At 38.3% G+C, this 22,885-nt stretch overlaps 1 protein-coding gene across 18 annotated transcripts in view, besides 2 other annotated features; it reads left to right on the forward strand.

Annotated features, from left to right (window-relative positions):
• AKAP7 (A-kinase anchoring protein 7) overlaps positions 1 to 16,086 on the forward strand; it is a 157,906-nt gene extending 141,820 nt beyond the window's left edge. For 12 of the 18 annotated variants that reach the window (NR_164833.1, NR_164832.1, NR_164834.1 and 9 more), the window contains one exon: positions 14,953 to 16,086. Coding sequence is in view for 13 of the 18 variants with exons in the window: in XM_017011509.2 (XP_016866998.1) it covers positions 14,953 to 15,158 (206 nt within the window). In the remaining 5 variants the exon portion in view is untranslated. Of the gene's footprint in view, positions 1 to 14,083 lie in introns of all 18 variants that reach the window. The other 6 variants (NR_170717.1, NM_016377.4, NM_001387860.1 and 3 more) reach the window with 2 other exon arrangements.
• Positions 13,886 to 14,394: an enhancer, noted in NCBI's record as "H3K27ac hESC enhancer chr6:131602472-131602980 (GRCh37/hg19 assembly coordinates)". NCBI's record gives its function as "activates a minimal SCP1, AML or CMV promoter by ChIP-STARR-seq in primed H9 embryonic stem cells {active_cell/tissue: H9 hESC(primed)}" and the evidence as "EXISTENCE:reporter gene assay evidence [ECO:0000049][PMID:30033119]".
• Positions 14,395 to 14,903: an enhancer, noted in NCBI's record as "H3K27ac hESC enhancer chr6:131602981-131603489 (GRCh37/hg19 assembly coordinates)". NCBI's record gives its function as "activates a minimal SCP1, AML or CMV promoter by ChIP-STARR-seq in primed H9 embryonic stem cells {active_cell/tissue: H9 hESC(primed)}" and the evidence as "EXISTENCE:reporter gene assay evidence [ECO:0000049][PMID:30033119]".

The following is a 22,885-nucleotide window of genomic DNA, read 5'->3' on the forward strand; positions in this document are numbered from 1 at the left end:
TTAATAATTTGTGTATGTCTTAGAATCTGGAAGTGCAATTTGATCATAGTAGGTGCTTGAGAAATAGTTGATATGCAGACTCTTCAGTGTGTCCCCCTGGAGCCTTCAGGGTCTCTCCCTTGCATAAGTTTCCAGGCTCATCATTCTCCTCCCGCCCACCTCATCAGTTACTTAACCAGAGCAAGTTTTGCTGCTATAAAACAAGCCAAGCTGGTCTTAACTCTCTCTCTTGTGGCATTTCTTCCCTGGCCCACTTGAGAAATACTTATTCATTCTGTCTGATCCAGCTCAAACATCACCTCCTGCAATTCACTTTTTGAAATATTTTCCCCTAGACGGAATTCACTGCTGTCTACTTTGTGTACCCTTGTATATCGTACATCTTTCCTTGAGAGCGTTCATGATCTCTTATTTATTTAATGTGTTTCTACCTGTACTGAATTGCAGGTTTCCTAAGGCAGGGCCCATGTCAGATTCATTTCTGTATTTATAGCACAATGCTTATCACAAAAGAGGATGCTCAATGAATACTTGGGGAAAGATGAAAGCATGGGAAGGAAGGAAGGGAAGAAGGGAGAAAGGGAGGGAGGACTTGTATTGCATTAGAAGGAAGGGAGGGATGGAGGAAGTAATTGTATTGCATTAATCAGGACCATTATTTAGTATTGGACATTTCAAGCTGAGAATTTTCTGTTTTCTAATTAACCAATCATTAATTATGTGCTATTTCTCACATAATATTTCTCTCTCGTATACCTTCACTTTCCCAGGATGAGAGCACTGTGAAGTATATCTGCCTGGGGGTGGGTGTCTTGGATGAACTAAGCTTCCTAATTCGTAGTGAGGGAATTATCAGTTTCCATCACTACTGCTATGTGATCATAGGCAATTTATACAAGTCTCATTGTTCTACCTGTAAGTGGGAAGAATGACACTTAATTTACCTCTTAAGGTTTCTGTGATAACCAAATGCAATAATGTTTCCGAAAACACTTTGGAAAGTATGAAGTGTTACCTGAACAAGTGGAAAAAAGTGTTCCTGTGACTGCTGTTAGTGAGCTGGCATCATGGGAATTTTCTCAGCCTGCGAAGCCCTCTGAGTTTGGTGTGTCCTTACTGCTTATAAAAGGAGTGAAGTGTATTTGCAACTTATGGTTTATTTTACTAGATTACATTAATGGCAACATTTATTCTGCCGACGTACATCGGTGAACATTGCCTTCAGAACAGGAAAGTGACCTTATTTCTGCTCATATCAATTCCTAGCCTAGGATAATCAGCCTATAAAGAAAAGTCTGTATTCTCATGAGCAGGTGTGTTGGCCAAATATGTAAAAATTAATTCCAGTTTCATGCTTTTAAGTTTTAGGTAATGCTCTCTTAAAATACATGATAAGAAATTACATGAATGTAATAATATTTAGATTCTAAGGAGTCCTTCATTTTCTGATTTCTTTGTTTTTCTACCAGACAAAAGCATGATTATTTGAAAATTTATGCTTGTGACATGTTTGAAACTATATTTATTTCTTCTTTGTCATAAAAATAATTTTTCAATGATAGACATACTTCTGTTGACACTCCTGTGGACCAGGAATTGTGTTTGGAATACATACTACTTTTTTTTTGGAAACAGAGTCTCACTCACTTTCTTTCGCCCAGGCTGGAGTATCGTGGCCTGATCTCGGCTCATTGCAACCTTCGCCTCCTGGGTTCAAGTGATTCTCCTGCTTCAGCCTCCCTAGTAGCTGGGATTACAGACATGAGCCACCACGCCTGGCTAATTTTTGTATTTTTAGTGGAGACAAGGTTGCACCATGTTGGCCAGGCTGCTCTCGAACTCCTGACTTCAGGTGATCCGCCAAGTGCTGGGATTACAGGCGTGAGCCCCTGTGCCCAGTCTAGAATGCATACTACTTTTAACACTACTCAGAATTGCACCTCTCAATCAGTTCTGCACAAAATGACTTGGAGTGGTCTTGAGCAAGCAGTCAGGGATCTTGAGGCATCCCCACATTCCAACCTGAACAAATACAGGAACCAAAATTCAGGGAGGAAACCACCGTGGTTACCATATAGTAGAGAACATATGATATGGAATAGCAAATGGGAACCAACAAACAAGACAAGGCAAAACCAGTCAGCAAAACAAACTGCCATGAGCACAGTGCCCCTCTGAAGGAGATTTAAACAACAGAGTGAGGGTGATCACATGTCAATCAGAATATTGGCTACCAACTTAGTTTGTACTCTCTGAGCAGATTGGGGCAGATGATACCTGTCTGATACACTGAAGGGGAGAATTAAAACAATTTATTTGAGTCATATTTATGCTCAGAAACCACCCCAGTCTATTTCAGTGGAAATTATTATTCCTATTTTGGTATGAAGCACACAGAAAAATATGATTCAGAAGGAAAGCAACTGAGAATCTGAGGCCTGCAGCTGTGAGAGATTACAGATATTACAGTTGAGATGTGTCTAAAACAGAGGGGCTGAGAAAGCCATCATCATTACCAGCCACATGCTAATTGCGGAGTGACAGGGCACTAGTCCATTCATCAGGTTCACAGGTTGACCCCAATAGAGGCTGAACTTGTCCCTCATCATGGGGAAGAAATTGTTCCCAATATGGTTTGTTTTTCATTGAGGTATAATTTACATACAGTAATATTCACTGTATATAAGTCTGTCAGTTGTAATCAGCACAGAGTCATAGCACCACAATCAAGATTGTGAACAGTTCCATCACTCTCCAAAATTCTCTCATGCCCTTTTATAGTCAACCCTTCCTGTTACAGCTACACCTGGAAACCGCTGGTTTGTTTGCAGTCTAGTTTTGCCTTTTCCAGAATGTCATATAAATGAAATCATACAGTATGTAACCCTTTGAATCTAGTTTATTTCACACAACGTATTTTAGTTTCATCTGTATTGTTGCCTGTATCAGTATTTCATTACTTTGTACTGAGTACTAATCCATTGCATGGATTTACCATAGCTTATTGATTGATTCCCCAGTTGAAGAGTATTTGAGTTGTTTCTAGTCTGGGATAATTATGAATAAAGCTACTACAAACATTCATGTATAGGTGTTTATGTGAGTATATGCTTTCATTTTATTTGATTTCAAGTCTAGCTAGAAGTAGATTAATGGGTTGCGTTGTAAGAATATGGTCAACTTTTTATAAGAAATTTCTAAACTGTTTTTACCAAGTGGCTATTACCATTTTTGCATTCCCACCAGCAATAGGAGTTCCAGTTGCTTCACATCCTCACCAACACTTAGTATTGTCTATCTTTTTAATTGACAGTCATTCTGTTGGGTGAGTAGTAGTATCTCATTGTGACTTTAATTTGTATTTCCCTGATAACTAAAAATGTTGAATGTCTTTTTACATGTTTATCGACCATCTGTATATCTTATTTTGTGAAAAAAACTTTTCAGTTATTTTGGCCGTTTTTGTATTTGGTTGCTTTTCTTACTGTTAAGTAGTAAGAGTTCTTTTTGTTTTCTCGCTACAAGTTCTTTAATAGATAAATTTTGCAAATATGTTCTCCCAGTCTGTGGATTGCCTTTTGTTTTCTAACAGGGTCCTGAAAAGAGCAAATGTTTTACATTTTGATGAAGTTCAATTTACCTCTTTTTTTTAAAGTTTGTGCTTTTGTTGTCCTATTTAATAAATCTTTCCCAAATCTAAGGTCACTAAGAAGTTCTTCTGTGTTTTCTTCTAGACAGTTTATACTTACAAAGCTCTCGTATTAGGTCTGTGATTCATTTTAATTTTTATATTGGTGTAAGAGTTGAGGTTCTTTATTTTGCATATGGATATATAATTATTCTAGTACCATTCCTTGCAAAGATTATTCTTTTTTAATTGCCTTAGCTCCTTTGTTGAAAATTAATTGGCCATACGTGTGTGAGTCTAGTTGCGGATTTTTTTTGTTTTGTTTTATTATCTATATGTCTATACTTATGCCAATACCACACTGTCTCTCTTTCTGTAGCTTCAAAGTAAGTCTTGAAATCAGGAAGTATAAGTCTTCTAATCATGTTCTTCTTGTTAAAAACTGTTTTGGCTTTTCAAGTTCCTTTACATTTTCATAAAATTTTATTTTTTTAAAGAGATGGAGTCTTGTGTTGCCCAGGCTGGAGTGCAGTAGTGCCGTCATAGTTCACTGCAGCCTTGATTTTTTTTTTAACAAATACTATTCATTATTTACAAAATACATGGTGATCATAAGAGAGCACTTTACAAATTACAAATGGGAAAAGTACAGGGAAAAGTAGAGACACATGAGTCAAATGACAGGGTAACCATTCGTAGGGAGTCTGTTTAGAATAAAAAAGTTCTCTTTTAAAGTCAGACAAGGCCACGAATAGGTACATTGCGGTTTAAAAAATGGCAGTTACTTTGAAATATACCTCTACCAAAAAGTAGAAAAGCATTGGTAGTGTGTCTAATGTGTCCTAAATTAAATTACATATAGTTCCAGTGTTCCACAGTGCAACCATTGCTTTTAGGCAGGGATCTGTGAGAGACTTGATTCTTGTCACTGAAAGAGCAAAGCCCCGGGACTGGTGAACTTCCCTGCCTTCCATAAGGCTTTGTTCAGTGACTCTGGAATGTGGTATCAAAAAATCCCATTCATTTCTGTGTCTTTTAAGGAATTTGCCCATTTCGTCTAGTTTGTTGCATCTCTTCACATAAAATTGTTTATATTTCCTGATTATCCTCTTAATGTTTGTATAATCGATAGTGATGTTTCCACCCCCCACTCCTGATATTGGCAATATACATCTTGTATTTTTTGTTTCTGATCAGTCTGGATACAGTTTTATCAATTTTATAGATTTTTTTTCAAGGGATTAGCCTTTGGTTTCGCTGATGTTCTCTACTGTTTATCTGTTTTCTATTTCATTCTCCTACTATTTTTATTGTTTCCTTCTTTCTGCTTAATTTGGGGTTAATTGGATCCTCTCTTCCTATGTTCTTAATGTGGTAGCTTTGATAACTGACTTGAGACCTTTTCTTACTTTCTAATATAAGCACTTAGTGTATAAAGTACAGCTTTAGCTGCATTCCACAAATTTGATATGTTTTGTTTTAATTTACGTTCAGTTAAAGGTATTTTCTAATTCCTCTTGATTTCATCTTTGATTCATGGATTATTTAGAAACATTGTTTAAATATAAATAACTAAAGGATTCTCAGGGTATCTTTCTGTTACTGATTTCTTATTTGAATCCATTGTGGAACAAAAACATGCATTGGATGAGTTCAGTATTTTTAACTATTGAGACTTGTTTTATGGCTCAGAATGTGGTCTCTCTTGGCAAAGGTTTTCTATACACTAAAACAAAAGTGTATTCTGTTGTTGGCTGGAGGGTTCTGTAATTTTCAGTTAGGTGGATTTGGTTAGTACTGTAGTTTATGTCTTCTGTATTTTCACAGAATTTCTATTTTATCAGCTCTTGAGAATGGTCTTGAAATCTCAAACTGTAATTGTGTATCATCTATTAACCTTTTAGTTCTATCAGTTTTTGCTTCAGGTGCTTTGATGCTCTTGTTAAGAGGCATATATGCATTTAGGATTTTTACGCCCTCTTGAAGAATTGATTCCCTCATTATTATATAATATCTCTTCCGGGTAATACTTTTTCCGAAGTCTGCTTTGCCTGATATTGATTCTTTAGCTTTCTTTCCATTGCATTAGTGTGGCATACCTTTTTCCGTATTATTACCTTTAACCTTCCTGTCTCTTCATATTTGAAGTGGATTTTTTTTGGTACACATCATAGTTGATTCTGATTTTTTAATCCAAATCAACATCTCTGACTGTTCATTGGAGTGTCTAGGCCATCTTATGTTTTATACAATTATCAATATGGGTGAGTTTAAATCTCCCACCTTGCTAGTTGTTTTCTACTTGTCTCATCTGTTCTTTGCTTCTTTTTCTCCTCTTCTACTGCCTTATTTTGTATTAAGGAGTTTTATTATTTCATTTTATCTCCATTATTGGCTTATTTGCTGTGCCTCTTTTTGTTTTTACGTTAGTGGTTACTGTAGGGTTTTAAAGTATACATCTGCCTTCAAATAATATTATGCCACTTCACGTTTAACAGAAGAACCTTACAGTTATTTGCATTTTCCCCCTCCCAATCTTTGTGTGCTATTGTTGCCATAACTTTTATTTCTACATATTTTATAATACCCACTTAAAGCAGTTCTCTTTTAAAGAAATTAAGAATGAGAAAAGTCTTATTTTTACTTACGTATGTACAGTTTTTGGTTCTCTTTTTGTTTCTGAGTAGATCTAAATTTCTCTGTAGTATCATTTTCCTTCTGCCTCAGGTTTTTTCTTTGACATTTCTTCTAGTGCTGGTCAGCTGACGATGAATTCATTTAGCATTTGTATGTCTGAAAAAGTCATCCTTCACCTTCATTTTTGAAAGATAATATTTTTGAGTAAAGAATTCTGTGTTGCCTTTTCTTTTTTTTTTTTTTTTTGAGATGGAGTCTCGCACTGTCGCCCAGGCTGGTGTGCAGTGGCGCAATCTCAGCTCACCTTTTCTTTTTCTTTTAGTACTTTAAAATGTTGCACTGTTGTCTTTTCTTCTGCATTGTTTCTGATGAGTAAGTCTGCTGTCATTCTTGTCTGTGTTTCTCTGTATATAATGCGTCTTTTTTCTTTGGCTGTTTTAAGATTTTCTTTTAATACTGGTTTTCAGAAATTTGATCATGATATTCCTTGGTGTGATTTTCTTCACATTTCTTGTACTTCACATTTCTTCTCAAGAATCACATTTCTTGGGATTCTTTGAGTTTCTCGATTTGAGGATATGTAGTTTTTGTGGAATTTCAAACACTTTTGGCCATTATTTCTGCATTCGTTTTCTGCACTCTCCCTGTCTTTCCTTATCTTCCTTCCCTAATTAAATTGGTGCCATGGTTTAGTATTCCTATTCAACTCTTGTTGTAATATGCACCTCACTTTCCTACTGCATCTACCATGGTTCATATCCTCATTGTTTCTCTTTTTATCTGTTGTAAAACCTCCCTCTATTGTTTTTAGAGATGTGGTCTCACTATGTTGCTCAGACTGGACTTGAACTCATGGGCTCAAGCAATCCTCCTGCCTCAGCCTCATGAGCAGCTGGGACTACAGGTGCATGCCACTGCACCCAGCTCTCTGCCTCTATATTTGTCCCTCTTCAGTCCACAGCATGGTACATAGGTCCCTTTATCCCCACCTGTTTTCTAGCTTTCTTTCCCCCTAAGCCATCCTCACCTCACCCATGACTCTCTGAACTCTTTATCCTGACAATATGGAATACTTCCAGTACTCCAATGCATCGTGCTTTCTCATGCTCCTGTGCACATGCATATGCCTTTCTTATGTCTGGAAACCTCCCTGCCTCTCCATCATCCCTGTCGCCATGCCTGGAAACTCTTATTCATTGAGCTGAAATACCTCTCCTTTAAAACTTACCTTTTTATCCCATCCCAACTCCACTAGACCTTGAGTGTATTCTGTTACAGCACTTAATCTATTGTTTTGCAATCATCATTGCAATTAACTAGGTCATCCTCCTAGACTGACTTGTGTGTGGTCAGAGACTGTATCTTATTCATTTTTACATACTTAGTAGTGGTACGTAATAGGTGCTTACTAAAGTGTTGATTAAATAAACAAATAATTGGCATTTAGCAGGTATTGGGCATATTATTTTTAAAATAAGTTGAACTCAGATTTAATCATAACCTACATTTTAGCATGCGATGTTTCAGGCACCATTTTAGGCACTTCTCATACATTATCTTTAATCCTTATAACATCAATGCAATGTATATATTGTCATCCCCATGATACCCCAACTTTGGTTTAGAGAGGTCACGGACAAGGTTGTGCAGATAGAAAATGCCAAAATTTGGTTTCAAACCTGAATGTATGTTTTGCTTTTCTCTCCTTGCACACACATTAGGAGTTCTGTCATATCACCATCAGTATTTTCTAAGATTTCCAGTAAGAAATGACAGCTATCTGCAGAAATTGTATAGGCAGCAATGAGAATCATAATATAGAGTCAGAGAACTGATGTCACAGACTGACAGAGAAAAGTCTCTAAGGGGCTGTGCTGGGATATCAGGAAAGGGGAAGCAGGAGGGTTCTTAGGTGGGCTGCGTGGCCTACAAACATCCATCGCATGTCTGCCGCCATCTTTGATGTGACCATATGAGGAGCCATGTGGAGGGCACAAGTCACAGGGCTCATCCTGAACCATGTGGTTTGGGGATTCCTACAAGGATGTGCGGATCGGGGGGCTGGCTTCAGACAGCATCTTGGGGAACGGCGGAAAGAAATGAAGATTCCAAATGCGCCAGCACTTGCTGTGTTTACAAAAGGCCTGAAGGGTTCATAATGCTTTGTCATTATGACACTTTAGCTGAGGCTGGAATCACCACCCCTGCCCACTCAGACTGTAGGCCAAATGCCTGTTGAGACTCTGTCTCCCCTTTGTTTCTTCTCTCAAGGCTACTCTTGATTTTCAGTTTAGCTGCATTCCACCCCTACCATCCCCAGTGTAAAAATGATGAGGGTGGAGTTGGGTGGAGGGACATACAGTGTAGCAGTCTCCAAAACCCCTGTGGGGATGTCCTTTTGTACATACAGCAACATCATTTTCCTATTTATTCTGTGCTACTGAATCTAGAATAAACCTTACAAAGGCATGGTTCCTTCCCTTTTGAAATTTACATTATAGAAAATGTTTTAAAATATGGTTTTGGTGTTTTAATTATAAAATTTTCTGGTGTGTATGTGTTGGGGGTGAGTTTTGGTTTTTGGCAAGAGGAGGGGAGCTGTATTTGCAGGAACTCTGTTTCCTGGGGTACTGCAGCTAATACTTTTGGCAGATAAGGGTCCCGGGACCGTGTCAGTTTAAATGTGCACTTGAGGATGATTCCTGACCTGTCCTTCCTCACAGATCAGTTGCAGGTAGTGTGCAAGGCAGCCGAGTATGCCATCCTAACTTTGTGAATAGCCTACAGATCTATATTTAGTGCTTCTTTTTAGTTAGATGGACAAAAGAAAAGGTAAGCTCAGTTAAAAAAAAAAAATCCACTTCTGAGGAGGACACCCTTATGCATCGGGAACAGGAAGTTCCAGTGAAGGGGAGGATGCTTAGGAAGCTTTTGTTCAGATACCAAATGAGGTTTCTGATAGTTAGAATGTGAGCAAGTGAGAACTTTTAATGTTTTCATGTTTAGTGTTTGAATGTGATTATTTTAACATGGTTGCACTCCATCTTAAACTGTATTGTAATGAAGATTTTTCTTTGTTCCCTTTTCCAAAAAATTAGCCTGATTTGTTCTTTTCAGGACAAATAGGCACCTAGATACTGGCAATGGGCAGGGTGTGTGATGGTTTCTGGAGCCCTTCATGTGACATCAGTTAAGCTGTTGTTGGGTCAACTCACACTTAAGACCAGCTGAAGCACATTAATGTTGACCTTCAGTTTTCGCAGTAGGTGTAAAATATTTTTGCTACCACAAAGGAGTTATTTATTTTCTTTTCAATAACCACAGATATAAATTTTATCCCTGCAATGATTTGGTATCAGAGATCTTGGGTTAATATAAACAAAACAGAATCATAGGTACGAACCCTGGATGAACGATGCCACAACTCCTACAGAGAGTGGAATTGCTTACCTGAAGTTGATTGAAAAGTTTCTTAAGTCTGTATTTTTAGGGCCAGTGCTGTGTTTGATGTGCTTAAAAGATTTTTCATGACTTTTCTTTTATATTTTTACTATTCTCCTAAGAAATTGATCAAGAATATTCTGGGGGATTTCTAAAATAACAATGTCAAAGACAAAGGCTAATCTGTCATTTTATTAGGTAGAATATTAAGTAACCCTGTAGTCCAAAAAAGAATATTCCTATCAAGAATGTGTTGCTTACATTGGCAATACTTTTTATATGTACTTCTGTTGGAATATCAAAAGATAGTTTGTGTGTGTTGCGCCAGCATGTTGAACTGCCATTATTGAAGGACCTACAGTTAAAATGAGTGTAGCCATTTGTCTGAGAGCTCACTGAGAGACAGATACTTGTCAGGTAGTTGGCAGAAGAAAAATACAGCATAATTCTAATCTTAAGATCCCTCTTTTTAATTAAGTTGAATTAGGTCTGCTAGGAGTGGGAACACAAATGAGATCTCATAGGGATGAAAATGTCTATTTTTTGAATTGCTGCATTATTGCAGGGCTCTGTGATAAGCCTTCCTGTAGACTCATCCCTGGGCTAATGGTCATAGTCTGAGGATACTTTGTGGAAATCATAAAGGGAGGCCAGAGTCCAGGACAGATCTAGAAGATTGGCTTCTAAATTTATTGTTTTGATTGGTTGGTTGGTTAGTTAGTTATTATAAGTAGCTAATATTTGTCCCATAGGTCAGATATTTTGTCTTACTGACCAGGTTCATCAAGCGAAGTGGAGGTAGATTTTTCACATGGATATTTAAATGATTCCAGAATTCTCTGCTCTTGTTTTAAATTTAGTATTAAATTTAAATTTCTGGTCATTGGTGTGCTGTCCTTATAGGAAGATAGAAACATTTTTAAAATGTTGCTATTGGTTTCAAGGACTTCAGTCATCAATTCACTTGACTAACAAATATGTATTGAGCTCTTATTGTGATGAATAATTGGTGTCCTATGTTAGCAGAGGGAGAGAACTGAGAAGCCGAGGATATAATTTCTATACTCAAGACTGTCTTTAGCAGAGCAGATACTGAATCAGTAATGTTGAATAAGTACATTAATAAATAATTCTCATAATTTGTAAAGAAATTAAGAAAAAAACCCAGTGGGATGTTGCTTTGCTCACTGCTTTGTATCCTTATAGATCCTCAGTACACAATTGTTGAATGAATGACCAAATGGCCATGTACTATACATGCAGTGAGAGTTATTAGAATCCAGTGGAGGCTCATCAGTTCCAGCTAGTATAGGGTATTAGTCCGTTCTTGCATTGCTGTAAAGAAATACCTGAAACTGGGTAATTTATAAAGAAAAGAGGTTTAGTTGGCTCATGGTTCCACAGGCTGTACAGGAAGCATGGCTGGGGAAGCCTCAGGAAACTTACAATCATGGCAGAAGGTGAAGGGGAAGCAGGCATATCTTACACGGCCAGAGCAGGAGGAAGGGAGAAAATGGGGGAGGTGCTACACATTTTCAAACAACCAGATCTCATGAGAACTCACTCACTATCATGAGAACAGCAAGTGGGAAACACACCTCCATGATCCAGTTACCTCCCACCAGGTCCTTCCTCCAGCATTGGGGATTACAGTTCCGCAGGAGATTTGGGTGGGGACACAAATCCACACTACATTAGCTAATCAGGAAAGGTTTCATGGAGTAGATGGTATTCTAATTGCTGAAAGAGAGGGAGGGTCGTCTAGAAATTGGGAATGGTGTGGAAGCCTCTGAGGAGATGTTGGAAGCTGACAGTGGAGGTGTGCAGTGGTGGGCAGGCAGCCAGGAAAGGCAAATTTTGGAAAGCCTTGGCAGACAGACGTTTCTCTGTAGAGTAAATAGTGACAGAGATGTATTAGAAATAATAACTAAAGGTTTTATACCTGGCACATTGAAGACGGGAGAAATCATGAAGCACAATTGACAAAGCTTGGTAATTAAGGGGGTTAATGAGGGAAAGGAAGGCATCAAAGATGGCTACAATCTCGTTTTGAGCTTGACTGCCTCGAATAATAGTAACAGCATAAACAAAAATAGGACATCAGCAGGGAAAATTCACTTTTTTTTTCTTCTTTTTTGAGACAGTCTCACTCTGTCACCAGGCCGGAGTGCAGTTGCACGATCTCGGCTCACTGCAACCTCTGCCTCCTGAGTTCAAGTGATTCTCCTGCCTCAGCCCCCTGAGTAGCTGGGGCTACAGGTGCATGCCACCACGCCCAGCTAATTTTTGTATTTTTAGTAGAGACAGAGTTTCACCATGTTGGCCAGGATGGTCTCGATCTCTTGACCTCGTGATCCACCTGCCTCAGCCTCCCAAAGTGTTGGGATTACAGGCGTGAGCCACCGCGCCTGGCCAAAATTAGCTTTTTGTAGGAAGATTCTTGTGTTTAAGATAACAGGGACACTTCACTGTGGACTAGTAGAAATCACAGAAGCATGGAACATTAGACCCAAAAGGGATTTGGAGGTTGAGCCATTCATTGGACTCAAATTCAACCCTGTCATCTTGCTGATGAGAAAGCTGACTAGATTCAGGAACAGCCCCCAGGGTGCAATGTCTGGCCTTGATACAGAGCACAAGTAGGATGGCAGATGTAGACAGTCATTTACAGTGTTTTGGAGGGTACTTAAAAAGTATTCCTTCATTTGCAGTTGGATTTTTCCCTTTTAAATGGGAAGAGTCATTATACAAACAGTTCCAGTTAATGCATTTGGAGATGTTGTCTGTAGAGTATAAACACCGTGTTGTAAGGTTGAGATAAAATCCCTAAATATTAGGCAATATATTCATTCATTCCTACTGATAAACAAAAAGTCTTAACTTGCCACCCAACATGACATTACCAATGAATTTACTTTCATAGTAAATACATTACCAATGAATTTCTTTAACCGTATTATTTAGTAAGTTCTATTTAGTTATTACTGAGTTGACATTTACTCAATTCTAAACATATTTTGCACTGCAGATGTTCTATCTTGGACATCTGATCATGGGTCTGGGGTGCCATATTGCCCATATTTGAGGAGAAGGCAGTTGCTAAGGGTTCCCACTATTAGTGTTTCTAGATGGGTCTTATCCTACCCTCTCTTCTGCTTAGGGTGTTGCTAGGAATGATGGGGATGGTTATAAGCACAATTAGTCTTGATGGGTGTTACATACAAGTAGGGGGCTCTGAAGCAAGGTTGGGGGCCAGTTCTCACCCTTGGCATACCTGCTTCTGTTCTTCAATCCCTATTACATGTGAGTACAGGAAACAGTGTCCATCTTCCAGCTCACACCCTTTGTATCTGCCTGTCTCAGACCCAGAGATGCAAGTGCAACACTCACTGGCTTTGCCTTCTAGAACCCATGGGTAATCTTGCAAAACTGAGCTGATCTTAATGTGCGAGCATCCTGTGACTTCTTTGCTTCCAACCTTGTTCTTTCCTGGGTCCCCAGCTCGATGGGAGGAGATTGAGCACTGAATGGTCACTCTCTTCTTTGTCTCCCTTAACTGGGGAAGGAGCCCCTTAGTTCCTTTTCCCAGTTAAAGGAGTCTGAAAGAGAGTGACTGGGAAATGTGTAGCATGAGAATAGTTGGGAACCAGCTCTTTTAGAATAAAATGAAAGATGGAATAATTAGACCTGGATTATCACTCCCAGGGAAGTAAAATGACCATAAAATATTTACATCTAGTAATTTATCATCATAATCCTAATTTTTCTTTAAAGAATTTCCTATTTCTTAAATTGCAGTGATAGCACTGGGATTAAAAAAAATATTAGTCTTACAAGCTTACTTTAAACCAATTCCTAGTGGTAGTAACTGCCTTTATCTTCAAGGCAGCACTGAGCATTTATTAACAACCAACCTATAGGCCAAGCATTTTTAAATTAGTGATCTTAAGTAATGAGATGCTAGGGAAATCTTGATGACCTGATATTTGATATTCGAGAATGAGAAGCAGACATAGGCCTACTTAGTGAATTCACATGTCTGAGACTCCACGTGGTGGGGACATGGACGTTAGTAGTAGTAATTAGCCTTGGATGAGAGAAGAACAGAAATTCACATATAAATGGGAAACATCCGGCATTGGTAGGTAGAGCTTGTCTAGATTGGGACTAATGAACTACTTTTCAATCTGAAGCCTTCAGGAATAGACAGGCTCCTGCTTCTGCAAATACCAAATGAAAAGCCAACCCACTGTTCTTGAATTTATAGATCCAATTTACACTTGCTCTTTTTAACCAATGGAACTAGCCGGCCCCTGCATGCCAAGTTTCTATGGCAATGTGATCTCAGTGACCTCTCTTCTCTATTGTGGAATGTAGGTGAAAAGAACGGAGGGGAGCCCGATGACGCTGAACTAGTAAGGCTCAGTAAGAGGCTGGTGGAGAACGCGGTGCTCAAGGCTGTCCAGCAGTATCTGGAGGAAACACAGAATAAAAACAAGCCGGGGGAGGGGAGCTCTGTGAAAACCGAAGCAGCTGATCAGAATGGCAATGACAATGAGAACAACAGGAAATGAGCCCGGAACGCAGGCCCCCATGTCTCTGTGCAAAGCCTCCCTGCTTCCCTCTGCTGAGTCTAGGGACTGACTTGCAGCGTGCTGTTTAAGTTAAGTTTCTCTGGTGCAATCTGTGAAGATTGCCTAATACTTTTCATGATCGATGTGTTCGCATTGCTGAAACACAACAGAAGAAAAATGGAGTGCTGGGACTGGCAGAGGAAATTAATTGATGAAAGAAGAATGGCCCAAGTTTCATTCGCCCTCAGCCACGCACAAGGGAAAGGGAACTTTGGGTTATGCCTCCTGGACGCAAATTAAAGGCCGAGAAAGAGGCCTTGCCATCAATGGAATACTGCCATTTATATTGCTTAGCAGGGCATTTGACTACTTTATCTGAGGCCAGAACTCTCACACACAGCTATCAAGTGCTAAGTTTAAAATAATCACTGTTGGAATTGTCATCTGTACAATTAGTCCATAATGTTTCATGTTTGTCCTAAGTGTGCTGTTGCTATGCAGTGTGATCTTTATTTATAGTAAATTATGTTTCATGTAAATGATATATTTTTGGTGAAATGCAACCTTTTCTATAAAATGTGGGCAACATTTTAAAGTTTTTTTAAAATCCTATTTTGATAAGTCAGTATGCCATATTTAATGAAATGTTATTATATAATTTTTTTTTCTTAGGCAAGAAACCTATTGGAATTCGAGACTTAATTAATGAAGCTTTGCATCGAGAAACGATGGGTCTGAAGTCCAAAGTGAAACAGATAAAGGAACTTTTATTAAAGCCTGAGACTCAGGCCAGAATTAGGAGGGAGCTTTTTGAAGGAAGACTTATTAACAACAGTAATTCAGCAAATGACGTTGATTTCAGCACAACTTTGACATAAGCTCTACATTGCGATTGTGACAACATAGCTTATGAAATCTTTTCAGCTTATTAAGTAGCTCTTTGGTAAACACCAAAGAAGTTTCTGATAGTGTCTGCACAACAGCAAACCAACATTTGGTGAGGAATTAGCAATTTCTTGCCAAAGAAAATTGATTCTGCCCAATTATTTTTTGAGCTACACTTGTGTTTTAGAATATCTGTTTCTGTAATATTGAGAGTTATTTTATAGAAATGATTTCTTAATTAGCTGTTGTGAGATATTTCTCGGGTCCTTGCAGAAAAAAACATACAGACTGTGAACAAATCATTCACAAACAGAATAAAACAGAGCCAACAACAGTATTTTAAGGGTCACTTGCCTCCTGTTGACACAATTGTTGCTAAATCAAAAGAAGCGTTGTCCAGGTGTGTCTACATCTAGTGTTACTTTTAATGAGAATTTGAATGTTTATTGAACAATAGTACTTGAATGAACATTTATAAATGTAATTATTGCGATCACTGGTTAAGAATGTTTTATATATCCTTATAATATTTTTCACTGATCAAAATGTTGTTCTGCTTTTTCATTTCTTAAGGAATACATGTTTGGGATTTTTATTTTTTACGTGTCCGAAGATAAGCTCCAGGTCTTATCGTATCCCTTGCCATCTGAACTTGTTTGCACTGCTTCTGTTTGAAAGAGCATCTTGAAAAACTTCCCCGGTATGATGATTGTTGGTAACAACTTTTTCTATAGTCATTGATGGAGTAGATCATGATGGAGGGGAAATCACTGGAGATCAAATATGTAAAATCATTTCAAATATAAAATCCAGTTTACTCATGGATTTTAGCTATTTTTTCACTGGGTAAATTATACTACATTTATTTACAAATGAGTTTATGCATTTTCATGGCTCTTAATAAACATATTGTTTTCCCTTGTTGCTTTTCCTCATTTCTTTTTTTCACTCTTGAGAGTAGTTGGATCTATGTTGGCGTAACGAAGTCATAAATCGGAGCTCCAATAGTTTAGTTTCAGTGTTGCTTCACCTTTATGATCCCGTCCTTCATGCTAAGAGAGCACAGTTGTCAAAGCACCTTCAACTTTACCCTTTAAAATCATATCAAATCAGTCAGCTTCACAGAGAATTAACAACAGAACCTTAAATTCAAAGAAAATCTAAATAGCGTCTTATAAACAGCTAAGAATGTGTCACTGATGTGACATCCTAGCAAAGATGAAAAGTGGAGGTCCATCCAGGTGCAGAATCCTGGGAGCTGTTTGCCATGAAACCCTTTTCAGTGGTAGAGGGCTTGACTGTTTGTTTGTAAATGGCTTCTTTAAGTAAATCCTTAAGGTAGAAAGCAAAGATAGTTTTGGCCTTGCCTTGTTTTTCAAACAAGGAAACAGACTCCAAAAGGTGGCATGCCTTATCCAGGGCCCCACTGCTATCAGGGAACTGGACTTGAACTGTCACCTGGGGCTCTATGTCAATGCCCCGGTGTTATCCTTACCACCCCATAATCTAAGTGAACAGTATTTCTGGAGAGAAGGCACTTCTCAGCGTGTATATACAGATATCCTCTGGGAGCGATTCCCAGTCCATCTAGATAATTTGAAAGGCTAAAATAGTATATACTTTTTGCAATCTGGGGTTACATGTCTTACTGTTATTTTAGTTTAAAATCATGATTTTTGTTAAATACTAAGTCCCAGGTTGTGTGCCAGGTGATTTAGGCGTATGATTAAATTTCTTCCCTTCAGTGACCCTATTAGGAAGTAATTAGTACTTTTACAAATTAGGAATCAGGGGCCCTGTGTGGTTAAATAGCCCAGGGTTATAAGCTAATAAAGGTGAGGCCAAATTTAAACTATGATCTGTTCTAATTCAAAGCCAACACTTTTTCCAAAATGCAGCACTTCTCTCCACCAAGTACGATATACTTGACAAATTAAAAAGTGTAAGAAAAGGAAAGTCACTTTCTTTTGACTAAACCAGCTTCCTTGCAGCCCTGAATTTCTCTGAACTTACATGAGAGTGATCAGCTGATGTGATAGAACTGAAAATCACATCACCCAGATACTTAATATAGGGATTAAGGATTCTAATCCTTACCAATGAAAGCTCCATTTAAGAAGGTTTATGAAGAAAATGGAAGGTATAAAATAAAAAATTTTATTTTCCATTTTTAAAAGTGAATAAGACATTAATTTGCAGAACTCTATGTTTGGGATCTGAAATGTTCCAAGTGACTTTATTCCCATTAGTCACAGAATAACTGCTCTTTGGGTCACGTAGGCAGAGTGAGTTGTCCTGAGTCGGTACTGTATGTTATGTAGCCTTGTCTTGTGACAGGGAGGCTGCGTGGTTGGCAACAGAGTGCTGGCTTGGGCCTTCTAGACTGTCTTCTAGACTTGGGTCCACCACTGACACATGATCTTGACCAAACTAATTCACTTTTCTGAGCCTCACTGCCCAATCTGGAATTGGAAAGAGTTTGGCAAGGTGATTTTCAAGGATCCTAGAACAGTGCTCTTTGTGACCACACCATGATGCTACTCATGCAGACACCGCTGTTTCAGTTAGCTACTGCTATGTGAGGCCTTGAAGGGGCCACGCTGTTCCATCTGTTGGCAGGAAGAGCTTAGAGTTCTAGAAGACTTTACACTCTGTTTGACTTGTGTTGGTTGTCAGCTTCGTGTAGGGAAGCCCCAGTGGCACATATTCATATTTATCAACAAATGCCAACATTTTTGGGGATCAATCACTGGAAAAATAATATGTCCTAGATGAATTAAGAATGTCAAAAAGTAATATTTTCAACAGCAGGACAAAATTCTGTCAGCTTTGAACTTGGACCCATTTATAAAATGTTAGATGATTATTGTATTAGTCTACTTCTCAGCATAGAAGTATTTATTTTTATAGGGCTTTGAGATATACTAGATTTATATTCAATAAATTTTAATTTTTAAGATTAATAATTTTTAATTTAGAGACAAAAAAATCTTAATTTTAAGATTAATAATTTTAAGATTCAAATTATTCATTCCAAAACTCCAAATGTGTTACCTTCCAGTCATCCCAGCAGCCAGGCACTCCCATAAGGAGGTAATTAAAGCAGTTTGACTTCATGTTCTGGACATTATTTCAGGCATGTGACCAAACAGATGTGTTTGCTTCTCTGCATTCGATCACAGATGCAGAAACCATCTATCACATCATGGAGCAAATTAGGAATTTATTTCATTATACAATCAAGATAGTGATTTATTTCATTATACAAACTGTAGATTTTATACTGTAAATTTAAACTTTTAGTATCTCCACACATAAATTGATGAATGGATAACCTTTCGTCATCCCTTATTTTCAACACTTTCAAATCTCACCTATAATAATTTTAACTTTAAACAAATTGTAGATACAACCCTAAATTCCAGTTTTCCTAGGTAGATAGACTTCATATAAAAATAAATAAACTTGGTGTACTTTAAAAAATAGTTTCTAGGTCCCTATATGAATTTGAGAGCAGCACAGATGCTAATGAGACAAGTCCCTAGATTATTTCATTCACAGTGAAAATGAATATTAAAGCAGTTCACTTAGAGTCAGTGAATTTAAAATTGTGATGTTAACTACAGCACTTCATTTCTGCATCACAGTTTTGAGGATAAAGGCTTATTTATAAGGTAATTTGAGAGCTTCTAAAGAGGAAGGTGCTATTATCATCTCCAAGGTGATATGCTCAAAACTACTTATTTGAATCCATTAAGTGTAACTGATAAAGTTAGGTGATTTGGGATGATTTTAAAATGTAAACTGCAATATTTACTCCTCTGCATATTCCATCATTTAATCATTTATTGGAAGACCATGAAATTCTATTACAGCATCAAAGAAACAATTAAAGTAAGAAATTCATTGTTTTCAGTAAATCTATGTTGCTTTCCCTGTAATGGTTCGCATTATTTCTGAAAAGTTACTATTCAGTGACACTGCCCTATATATTTACGTGTTACTTTCTTTGACTGATCTGAGAAAAGTGACACAGTCCTGCTTGCAGTCCTGCCAACTTTTGGTATATGCAGAAGCAGCTCTTGTTCTTAGGTAAACACAGTAAATTGGTACAATGCTTTATTTATTTTTAGAGACAAGGTCTTCCTCTGTCACCCAGGCTGGAGTGCAGCAGTGCAATCAGATCATAACTCACTGCAGCCTCCAACTCCTGAGCTCAAGGGATCCTCCTGTGTCAGCCTCCTGAGTTGCTGGAACTAGAGGCACACTACCATGCCCAGTGAATTTTAAAATTTTTTGTAGAGACAGGGTCTTACTGTTGCCCAAGCTGGCCTTGAACTCCTGGCCTCAAGTGATCCTCCCACCTTGGCCTCCCAAAGTGTTGAGATTACAGGCATGAGCCACCATACCTGGCCTGGTACAATGCTTTAAATTATTCCTGATACTTCCTGCCCAAAACCACTTGGGCACAATATTGCCATGATAATATCTTCAAACGAAAGACATTGTCTTCACTGATTTTTTTTAGTCACATATGTTATCTTATCCATAATTTCAAAAAATCTTATTTTGAAACCACTAATGTGGGATATATGAAGTTGTAGGAGGTAAGAGGACAAAGAAATTAATCTTACAGCTGGACAGGAATTACAGTGCTGAGGAAAGAAACGAAAATGATACTTATGCACGAATCCAAAGAATATCTGATATGCTAATTGAAGTAGAGAAAATAGAATGAATATGCAACAGTGGGGAGATACTAAGCATATCTTTTCAAGATTCTGGAAGACAAATTTAGAAGCTGTTTTTCCCAGGTCCATGCTCAAGAAGTGTCTTTAGGGAGAGGTAACAAGGGCCTTTGATGATTTGGTGGGCATTTGTCACACTTGGTGACTGCCCAGTATCTTTTGAACTCCTCTTCTGTCTTCGTGTAGCTTTCTACCTTGTGAACCTTGCTTCCCTGGGACAGAGGCCCCAAGGTGGAGGCCAAGAACTCACCCTCAGCCTTCCATGTCACTGGGGTTCAGATATGTGACCTGGGCTCCACCAAGCAACAGGGAAACCCTGCATGGAATCAGTTCATCCTGGCAGGGATGGTGGAGAGATAGCCAGCTCTCAGAAGCAGTAGTGGCAAAGGCCCTACCTGGCTGGGGTGTCCCACATCCCACATATCCCTATTCTGTGTAAGAATTACAAGCTGGTAAAAAAGTAGCACCAGCTGGATTCTCCCAGATCAGCTGGCAGTGTAATAAGGCATTGTTCCTACTGCTTAGCCACCCAGCCTAATTTTCTGGACCTTCTAAGGATTCTGTGAGCTACTGAATATCCTTTAATTAGTTCCCTTTCCATTTAAACTAGCCGAAGTTGGTTCTGTTATTTGCAGCTAAAAATCTTGACTAATAAAGGCTCTACTCGCTAAATCAGTATTTCAACACAAGGCACAACTGGCATTTTGGATTGGAGATTTCTTCGTAGTGTGGGATGGTTCTGTGCATAGTAAGTTACCAATCCAGATCCCCAGACACTAAATGCCAGTAGCAGATTCTTGTTATTGTGACAACAAAAATGTGCCCCACACATTTCCCAATCCACTTCAGACAGGGGTCACACAACCCCCAGTTGAGGAGTACACTATTAAATAGTGCTTTCCCAGCAGTGTTAAAGAGTTAGTGCTCCTTCCCACCTCCACTATTATCAAGAAGTAATTTAGTCTCGAAGAGCACATGCTCACTGGGGTTCTGTACACACATTATCAGGAACTGGGATAGAAAACAGGAAAATGAAACCACCGGCATAGTTTATGTGACATGGATCAAAATACCTAGTTACTGCACTTGGAAAATGGCTGAAAGGATCAGTTGTGATGACAGTTATGATGCCATTGTTGCAGGAATTTTCTTGGTTTATGTGATTCTTTGGGTAGACTTAGATAGTGAAATAGAGAAGATAGCCTCCAAATTTTAAAACAATATGACATGATTAACATATTATTACTTAATATAATAACAGGGCTATTTCTTATTCATTTCATTAAAAAAGGAAGTTAAAGTATTTTACATTATATGCTTAAGAGGAAAAGTCTATAATAAATGTACAGTAGTCCCCCCTTATTCATGGGGGTTATGTTCCAAGATCCCCAGTGGCTGCCTGAAACCGTGGATAGTACCAAACCCTATATATACTATGTTTTCTTCTATACACAGGTAAGTTTATTCTATACTTCTAATATATACCTATGATAAAGTTTAATTTATACATTAAGTACAGTAAGATTAACAATAATAATAAAATAGAACAATTATAATACTATACTATAATACAAGTTATGTGAATGTGGTCTCTGTCTTAGAATATATTGTACTGTGCTCACTTATTTTCAGAACTTAGTTTGTAACTGTGTCCCAAAGAGTTAGAGAAACCAATGACTAACAGACTGGGTGTGGTGGCTCACGCCTGTAATCCCAAAACTTTGGGAGGCTGAGGTGGCTCACGCCTGTAATCCCAACACTTTGGGAGGCTGAGGCAGGTGGATCACCTGAGGTCAGGAGTTCGAGACTAGGCTGGCCAACATGGTGAAACCCTGTCTCTACTAAAAATACAAAAATTAGCCGACCATGGTGGCGCTAACCTGTAATCCCAGCTACTCGGGAGGCTGAGGCAGGAGAATCACTGGAACCCAGGAGGCGGAGGGTGTAGTAAGCTGAGATCGCACCACTGCACTCCATCCTGGGCGAAAGAGCAAGACTCCATCTCAAAAAAAAGAAAAAGAAAAAAAAAAAAAAGAAACCAACAAGCAATGTCTATCAGAAATTCTTGAGTTTTCATGATGGCAGATAAGAAACAACCTGCTGAAACACTGAAATTTGCTCTTCTTATGAGATAAAAGAACTGGCTGAAATCTGTTTGAACTCAGATAGCAGACTGGCATTTGTGCAGAATGAACCTGCTGAAGTCATAGCCTGAATTCCCACTGCATGTTTCATACTAACTCCCCCTGAATTTGCACACGGGACCCATGAAGTGGCATGAAGAGATAACTGAGCATGCCCACGGACTTTCCAGACCTCCCCTTTCCTTCCACCAACCACCTGCTAATCCCAGTATCCACCCCTTAAACTTTTTCTAATAAAATTACTGCCTTAAGGCCAGCACAGGGGGACAGATTTCAGCTTGACTCCTGTCTCTTTGAGACGATTTTCAATATAAAGCTTTTCTTTTCTCAAAAAATCTGGTGTCAGTTTTGACTTCCAGCACATCAGGCAGGGAGCCCCATTTGCTCGATAACAGGTTGACACCAAGTAACTGAAACCGAAGGTAAGGAGGGACTACTATATTTCAATATAAGAAATATTAGTTATATGTTAGAAATATAGGAGTATTTTCATATAAGAAAAATATTAATTTTCCCTGAGAATCATGATAGAAATGTTTTAGATAGAAATGGGAAAGAACTATTGCTTTTGGCTCTACAAAAACCTGGAGAAAGGTGACTCCTGATTGACACACATGGAAATATACAGAGAAGTTCAAGGGAGCATTCAAATCAAAGGAATGAAGTAAGCAGACAAAAGAGAGTGAGCACATCACATTAAGTACAGATGTAGGGATTCAAACTTTATTTTAGCACAGAATCACCAGACTTTAGTGCATTCAGAATGTCTTTTATGCCCATCCTAAATAAATCTTATAGTTAGTTGTTAAGCATAATGAAAATCAGTGA

Source organism: Homo sapiens, chromosome 6 (assembly GCF_000001405.40).
Source record: "Homo sapiens chromosome 6, GRCh38.p14 Primary Assembly".
Classification (NCBI taxonomy): Eukaryota; Metazoa; Chordata; class Mammalia; order Primates; family Hominidae; genus Homo; species Homo sapiens.